The sequence below is a fragment of the Homo sapiens genome, chromosome 13, assembly GCF_000001405.40.
Source record: "Homo sapiens chromosome 13, GRCh38.p14 Primary Assembly".
Classification (NCBI taxonomy): Eukaryota; Metazoa; Chordata; class Mammalia; order Primates; family Hominidae; genus Homo; species Homo sapiens.
Window position 1 is genome coordinate 19,191,488 of NC_000013.11, and position 8,002 is coordinate 19,199,489.

Sequence of the window (8,002 nt, forward strand, 5' to 3'; positions counted from 1 at the left end):
TTGCAGTGACCTGAGATCGTACCACTGCACTCCAACCTGGCGACAGAGCGAGACTCTATCTTAAAAAAAAAAAAAAAGCAGGAAATAGACCTGTGGCCAGGGATGGTTGTAGGTTGGAGAACACAGTCTCAGGGACCTGTGAGACTGTAACAAGAAATCTAACATTCTCATCACTGGAATTTGAGAAGGAGCAGGGAGAGTGGGAGCTGAAGAATTATTTAAAGAAATATGGTTGAAAGTGGTGGCTTACACTTTGGGAGACCAAGGTGGGCAGATCACAAGGTCAGGAGTTCAAGACCAGCCTGGCCAATATGGTGAAACTCCTTCTCTACTAAAAATACAAAAATTAGCCAGGCATGGTGGCAGGCGCCTGTAGTCCCAGCTACTCAGGAGGCTGAGGCAGGAGAATCCCTTGAACCCAGGAGGCAGAGGTTGCAGTGAGCCAAGCTAGCGCCATTGCACTCCAGCCCGGACGACAGAGCAAGATTCTGTCTCAAAAAAAAAAAAAAGATATATATATATATATATATATATATATATATATATATATATATATATGGCTGAAAATTCCCCAAATTTAGCAAAAGATATAGACCTCCAGATTTGAAAACCTGGGTGAACCACAGACAAAATAAATACAAATAAATCCAAGTCAAGACCCAACATAAACTTCTGAAAACTAAAGACAAAGGGAAAAATATCAAAAGTGGTTTGAGAGAAATGACACCCTACTTATAGGGCAAAAACAATTTGAAAGACAGTGGATTTCTCATCAGAAAACATGAGGCCAGAAGGAAGTGGCACCTTTCTCAAGTGATGAAGGAATAGAACTACCAGGGTCAGGCGCGGTGGCTCACACCTGTGATCCCAACACTTTGGGAGGCTGAGGCGGGCAGATCATGAGGTCAGGAGTTCGAGACCAGCCTGACCAACATGGTGAAACCTCGTCTGTACTAAAAATACAAAAATTAGCCAGGCGTGGTGGTGCATGCCTGTAATCCCAGCTACTCAGGAGGCTGAGGCAGGAGAATCACTTGAACCCGGGAGACAGAGGTTGCAGTGAGCCGAGATCGTGCCACTGCACTCAGCCTGGGTGACAGAGCAAGACTCCGTCTCAAAAAAAAAAAAAAAAAAATAGAACTACCAATGTGTAACCTGTATCTGATGAAAATACTGTTCAGCAATGAAGGGGAAATAAAGACATTTTTGGACAAAAGAAAACAGATAATTGGCCCAGTGCAGTGGTTCATGCCTGTAATCCCAGCACTCTGGGAGGCCAAGGTGGGAGGATCACTTGAGCCCAGGAGTTTGAGACCAGCCTGGGAAAGATGGTGAAACCCCATCTCTACCAAAAACACAAAAATCAGCTGGGCGTGGCAGCATGCGTCTATAGTCCCAGCAACTCAGGAGGGTGAGGTGGGAGGTTTCATTGAGCCCAGGAGCTCAAAGCTGCAGCAGGTTGTGATTGCTCCTCGGCACTCCAGCCTGGGCAACACAATGAGACCTTGTCAAAAAAAAAAGATGTTTTCTTAGAGTTGGTTCCATTTTCCATGTGATTGGAAAACTGACTGCACAGCCATAGTTAATCTTTGGAGGTTCATATCCAATAGAAACACAAAGTGTCCTTATCTCAGCATGCCACAAAAAAGCATCATCATACCAAGGACTTTGAATGGATCACATAGCCATCCCTGAAGCAATCACGGTAGTCACAGAAATGTGATTTGCTAATTGGCTGAGCTCCATTCTTGAGGCGGAGGAAAAGCCCCACCTGAAGCAAAGGGCTGAAAAAGGAGGAGGGGAGATTCCTGGAGGAAAATCAGAGATGTTAGCAGAGAAAGTATGCTGGAAAACAAATGACAGATGTTTCACTATGATGGATAAATAAATGATGAATGCTAAAACAAAATCAAAAACAACAAACTTCCCCACAAAGACAACATCAGGCCCAGATTGTTTCACTGGTGAGGTCTATTAAACATTTAAAAAAGAAATAATACCAATCTTACATAAACTTCTCAGACAGTAGAGAAAGGAGGAAAGCGAGGCCAGGCACGGTGGCTCACACCTATAATCCCAGCACTTTGGGAGGCAGAGGCAGGTGGATCACCTGAGATCAGGAGTTCAAGACTAGCCTGGCCAACATGGTGAAACCCCGTCTCTACTAAAAATACAAAAATTAGCCAGGTATGGTAGTGCAGACCTATGGTCCCAGCTACTCTGAGGCAGGAGAATCGCTTGAACCCAGTAGACAGAGGTTGCAGTGAGCCAAGATCGTGCCACTGCACTCCAGCCTGGGCAGCAGAGCAAGATTCCGTCTCAACAAAAAGGAAGAGGAAAGCTTCCAATTCATTTTATGAGTACAACATAAACCTAACACCAAAATAGATGGTGGATAAATTTCGTGTATGTATACCACAATTTGTGTATCCATTCATCAGTTGATAATGATACTTCTTGCTTTTAGTTTTTTACTATTATAATGGAGCTGATAGAACATTTAAGTACAGATCTTTTTCCTTTGCTTTTATTTATTTATTTATTTTGAGACGGAGTCTCACTCTGTAGCCAGGCTAGAGTGCAGTGGCGCTATCTCAGCTGACAGCAACCTCCGCCTCCCGGGTTCAAGCAGTTCTCCTGTCTCAGCCTCCCAAGTAGCTGGTACTACAGGCACACGCTGCCACACCTGGCTAACGTTGGTTTTTTTGGTTTTTTTTTTTTGAGATGGAGTCTAGCTCTGTCACTCAAGCTGGAGTGCAGTGGCACAGTCTTGGCTCACTGCAACCTCCACCTCCCTTGTTCAAGCAATTCTCCTGCCTCCGCCTCCCGAGTAGCTGGGATTACATGTGCCCACCACCACGCGCAGCTAATTTTTGTATTTTTAGTAGAGACAGGGTTTCCCTGTGTTGGCCAGGCTGGTCTCGAGCTCCTGACCTCAAAGTGCTTGGATTACAAGTGTGCGCCGCCTCGCCCGGCCAATTTTCGTATTTTTAGTAGATACGGGGTTTCACCATGTTGGCCAGGATGGTCTCAATCTCTTGACCTCATGATCCGCCCGCCTGGGCCTCCCAAAGTGCTGGGATTACAGGCATGAGCCACTGTGCTGGGCTGATAATGTCAGCCTTTTACATTTGAGACCTTCTAATGGATGTGTATATCATGGTGGTTTTAATTTGCATTTTCCTCATGACTAATGGTGTTGAATTTGTTTTCATGTTTTTTTTTTTTTTGCAATCCGTATTTTTTTGAAGACTGTTAAAATATTTTGCCCATTTAAATGTTTTTGGTTTTCTTTTATTATTGAATTTTGAGAATGATTTATATTTTCCAGATATGAGGCTTTTATCTGATATTTTTCTCCCAGAATGTGGCTTGTCTTTCCATTCTTTTAACAGTGTCTTTTAAAAAGCAGACGTTAATTTTATTGACGTCTAATTTCTCAAATGTTGGTTTAATGAATCACTTTGGGTCATATTTAAGAAATCTTTCCCTAACCAAAGGTCACTAAGATTTTTCCCTTATGTTTTCTGCTAGAAGTTTTATAGTTTTAGGTTTTCTATTTAGTTCATAATCCACTCGAGTTAATTTTTATATATAGCATGAGGTACAGATCAAAGTTCATTTTTTGGCTGGGTGCGGCGGCTCATGCCTGTAACCCCAGCACTTTGGGAGGCCGAGGTGGGTGGATCACCTGAGGTCAGGAGTTAGAGATCAACCTGACCAACATGGTGAATCCCCGTCTCTACTAAAAATACAAAAAAAAATTAGCCAAGTGTGGTGGCACGTGCCTGTAATCCCTGCTACTCGGGAGGCTGAGGCAGGAGAATCACTTGAACCTGGGAGGCAGAGGTTGCAGTGAGCCGAGATCGTGCCACTGCACTCCAGCCTGAGCAACAAGAGCGAAACTCTGTCTCAAAACAAACAAACAAACAAAAAACAAAGTTCATTTTTTGTTTAAGAATACCCATTTGTGGCTGGGTGTGGTGGCTCACGCCTGTAATCTCAGCACTTTGGGAGGCCAAGTGGGTGGATCACCTGAGGTCAGGAGTTCAAGCACCCTGACCAATATGGTGAAACCCTGTCTCTACTAAAATTACAAAAATTAGCCAGGAGTGGTGGGGGGTGCCTGTAGTCCCAGCTACTCGGGAGGCAGAGGCAGGAGAATCACTTGAACCTGGGAGGTGGAGGTTGCAGTGAGCTGAGATTGCACCACTACACTCCAGCCTGGGTGACAGAGTGAGATCTCGTCAAGAAAAAAAAAAATTTTCAGAAGGAGGTCGGGAGCAGTGGCTCACATCTGTAATCCCAGCACTTTGGGAGACCAGGATGGGAGGATCACTTGAATTCAGGAGTTTGAGACCAGCCTGGGCAACATAGCAAGACCCCATCTCTAAACAAAAAAATTTTTTTAATTAGCTAGGCGTGGTGGCACACGCCTGTGGTCCCAGTTACTTGGAAGGCTGAGTTGGGAGGATCGCTTGAACTCGGGAAGCGGAGGTTGCAGTGAGCTGAGATCACACCCCCCTGCACTGCAGCCTGGGCAACAGAGGGAGACTCCGTAAAAAAAAAAAAAAAAGAATACCCATTTGTTTCAGCACATTTTTTTTTTACAAAAGACTGTCCTTTCCCCACTGAATTACCTGTGTATCTCTGTTGAAAATAGCCTGTATGTTAAATGACCTACTTCTGAACTCTGTTTTATTCAGTTGCTTTTTTTTTTTTTTTTTTTTTTTTTTGACAGAGTCTCTCTCTGTCACCCAGGCTGGAGTGCAGTGGTGCAATCAGAACTCATTGCGACCTCGGCCTCCTGGGCTGAAGCAATCCTCCCACCTCAGCCTCCCAAGTAGCTGGGACCACAGATGCTGCCACCATGGCCGGCTCACTTTTTTTTTTTTTTTTTTTTTTAGTAGAGATTGTAGAGGTGGGGTTTCACAGTGTTGCCCAGGCTGGTCTTGAACTCCTGAGCTCAAGTGATTCACCCATCTCAGTCTCCAAAAGTGCTGGGATTACAGGTGTGAGCCACCGCGCCCAGCTATTTGTCCGTCTTTATGCCAACATCACACTCTCTTGATTACTGTAGCTTTACATTTTGTCTTGAAATTGAGTAGTACAAGTTTTCCAACTTTTTTTTTTCAAAGTTGTTTTTGTAATTCAAGGTTCTTTGAATTTCCACATGAACTTTAGAAGCAGCTAGTCAATTTCTACACCTCATAACCCCCGCAAAAACACCTACTGGATTTTAGCTTGGATTGCATTGAAAGTGTAGATCAGGCCAGGAGCGGTGGCTCACGCCTGTAATTCCAGCACTTCGGGAGGCTGAGGCAAGAGGATCACTTGAGGTCAGGAGTTTGAGGCCAGCCTGGGCAACATGGAGAAACCCCATCTCTAACAAAAATACAAAAATCAGCTGGTCGTGGTAGAACGCACCTGTAGTTCCAGATACTCAGGAAGCTGAGATGGGAGGGTCACTTAAGCCCTGGAGATGCTGCCATGAGGACGCCACTGCACTCCAGCCTGGGCGACAGAGTGAGACTGTCTCAAACCAACAGCCAAACAAACCCAAAAGAGTCATTTTAGCTGTTAAATGACTAAATGATTAGTCATTTAGTCATGATTGTGTGTGTGTGTGTGTGGTAATAAGGTAAATTAGAGTGATTTGCAAACGCTAAACCAACCTTGCATTCAAAGGATAAACTCCATTTGATCATGATGTTGTAATGTTTTTACATATTGTAAGGATTCAAATAAAATTTTGTTTAAAGTTTTGCATCTATGTTCATAAAGGATATTGTTCTGTAGATTTTTCTTGATAAGTCTTTTTAAAGTTTTCATATCAGGATAATACTGGCTTCTTACACTGAGTTGGGCAGTATTCTCTCCTCTTCAATTTTCTGTTAAGAGTTTATATATAATTGGTGTTATTCCAGAAATGTTTGGTAAAATTCACTAATGAAACTGTCTGGGCCTGGAGTCTTCCCTGTGGGAAGGTTTTTAACTACAAATCCAATTATTGAACATGTAAGTCCGTTCAGTTTATCTGTTTCTTCAGTGGGCTTTGGTAGTTTGTGTTTTTCAAGGAATTTGTCTATTTTATCTAAGTTGTCCAGTTTATTGGAATAAAGTCGTTAATATTTTGTTATATTTTTAAAATCTGTAAACATTTTAATGATGCCATTTTACTAATTTCTGATAATGGTAATTCATGTCTTCTCTCTTCCTGATTATTCTGGCCAGAGATTTATCAATTTTATTGATGTTCAAAAATATCCTTTTTTTTTTCTATTGTTTTACTTTTCTAATATCATTGGTTTCTGCTCTGACCTTTATTGCTTCTCCCTACCCCACCTTACTTTAAGGCAGACAGCTTTTTAAAAAGTTTTCAGGCCAGGCACGGTGGCTCACGCCTGTAATCCCAGCACTTTGGGAGACTGAGGCGGGTGGATCACCTGAGGTCAGGAGCTCCAGACCAGCCTGACCAACGTGGAGAAACCCCATCTCTACTAAAAACACAAAAAAATGCAAAATTAGCCGAGCGTGGTGGCAGGCACCTGTAGTCCCAGCTACTCAGGAGGCTGAGGGAGGAGAATGGTGTGAACCCAGGAGGCGGAGTTTGCAGTGAGCAGGGAGCAGTGATTGTGCCACTGCCCTCCAGCCTGGGGGACAGAGTGAAACTCCTTCTCAAAAATAAATAAAATAAAATAAAATAAAATAAAATAAAATAAAAAATACTTAGCCAAGCATGGTAGTGCATGCCTGTAATCCTAGCTACTTGGGAGGCTGAGGCGGGAGAATCGCTTGAACCCGGGAGGCGGAGGTTGCAGTGAGCCGAGATCGCACCACTGCACTCCAGCCTGGGCAACAAGAGCAAAACTCCGTCTCAAAAAAAAAAAAAAAAAAAAAAAAGTCATGTTCCCCTGTTGGCTTGCATGGTTTATGTCAAGAAGTTTGTTGTTACTCTTTCCTTGGACTTCCTGTACACTTATCTTTTTTTCCACCTCCTTTACAATATTCTTTTTTCTTTTCTTTTTTTTTTTTTTTTTTTTGAGATGGAGTCTTGCTCTGTCACCCAGGCTGGAGTGCAGTGGCTCGATCTCGGCTCACTGCAACCTCCGCCTCCTGGGTTCAAGCGATTCTCCGGCTTCAGCCTCCCAAGTAGCTGGGATTACAGGCGTGCACCACTGCACCCGGCTAATTTTTGTATTTTTAGTAGAGACTGGGTTTCTCCATGTTGGTCGGACCGGTCTTGAGCTCCTAACCTTTGGTGATCCGCCCACCTCAGCCTTCCAAAGTGCTAGTGTTACAGGCATGAGTGACCGCACCGGCACAATTCATTGTTTTCAACAGGAACCCAGGCATGGCATTTGAAAGGAGGGGCATATCAACAAAGGATCGAAGATGAGGACAGACAGAGGCTTAGATGTTGGGAAGGTGAAGGGGATCCACAGTGATGAGATTCCATGTTGTCAGGGTATATGAGGCTAGGTCACAGATGGCGGTGATGATGGAGGAGGGCCTGAAAGCAGAAGGCTACTGCAGGGAGGAAAAGGTATGAGTTATCTCAATGAATAGGAAATTACACCAATTCAATCAATATAGCATGGTGTTATGAGCTGAACTGTGTCCCACAAAATTCTATAATATGTTGAAGTCCTAACCTCCATCACCTCAGAATGTAACTGTCTTTGGAAATAGGTCTTTAAAGGAGGTAATTAAGTTAAAATTAGACAGTTGTGGTGGCCCTTAATTGAATACGGTTGGTAGCCTTTTAAGAGGAAATTTGGAAATACAGATTTTTTATTTATACAGATCTTTATTTTTATATCTACCACTTTTAAGCAGATGATATTCAAAAATCTTCCTTGGTATACTGATTCACAAGAAAAAAATATTGACTGAACCAGCCACCAAGTTTAACTATACAAAAACACTAAAAACACGGAATAACTGGGAGTTCAGAGATGCTCCACTTGACTGTCACCCAGAAGCTGACTGCTCCCAGCGT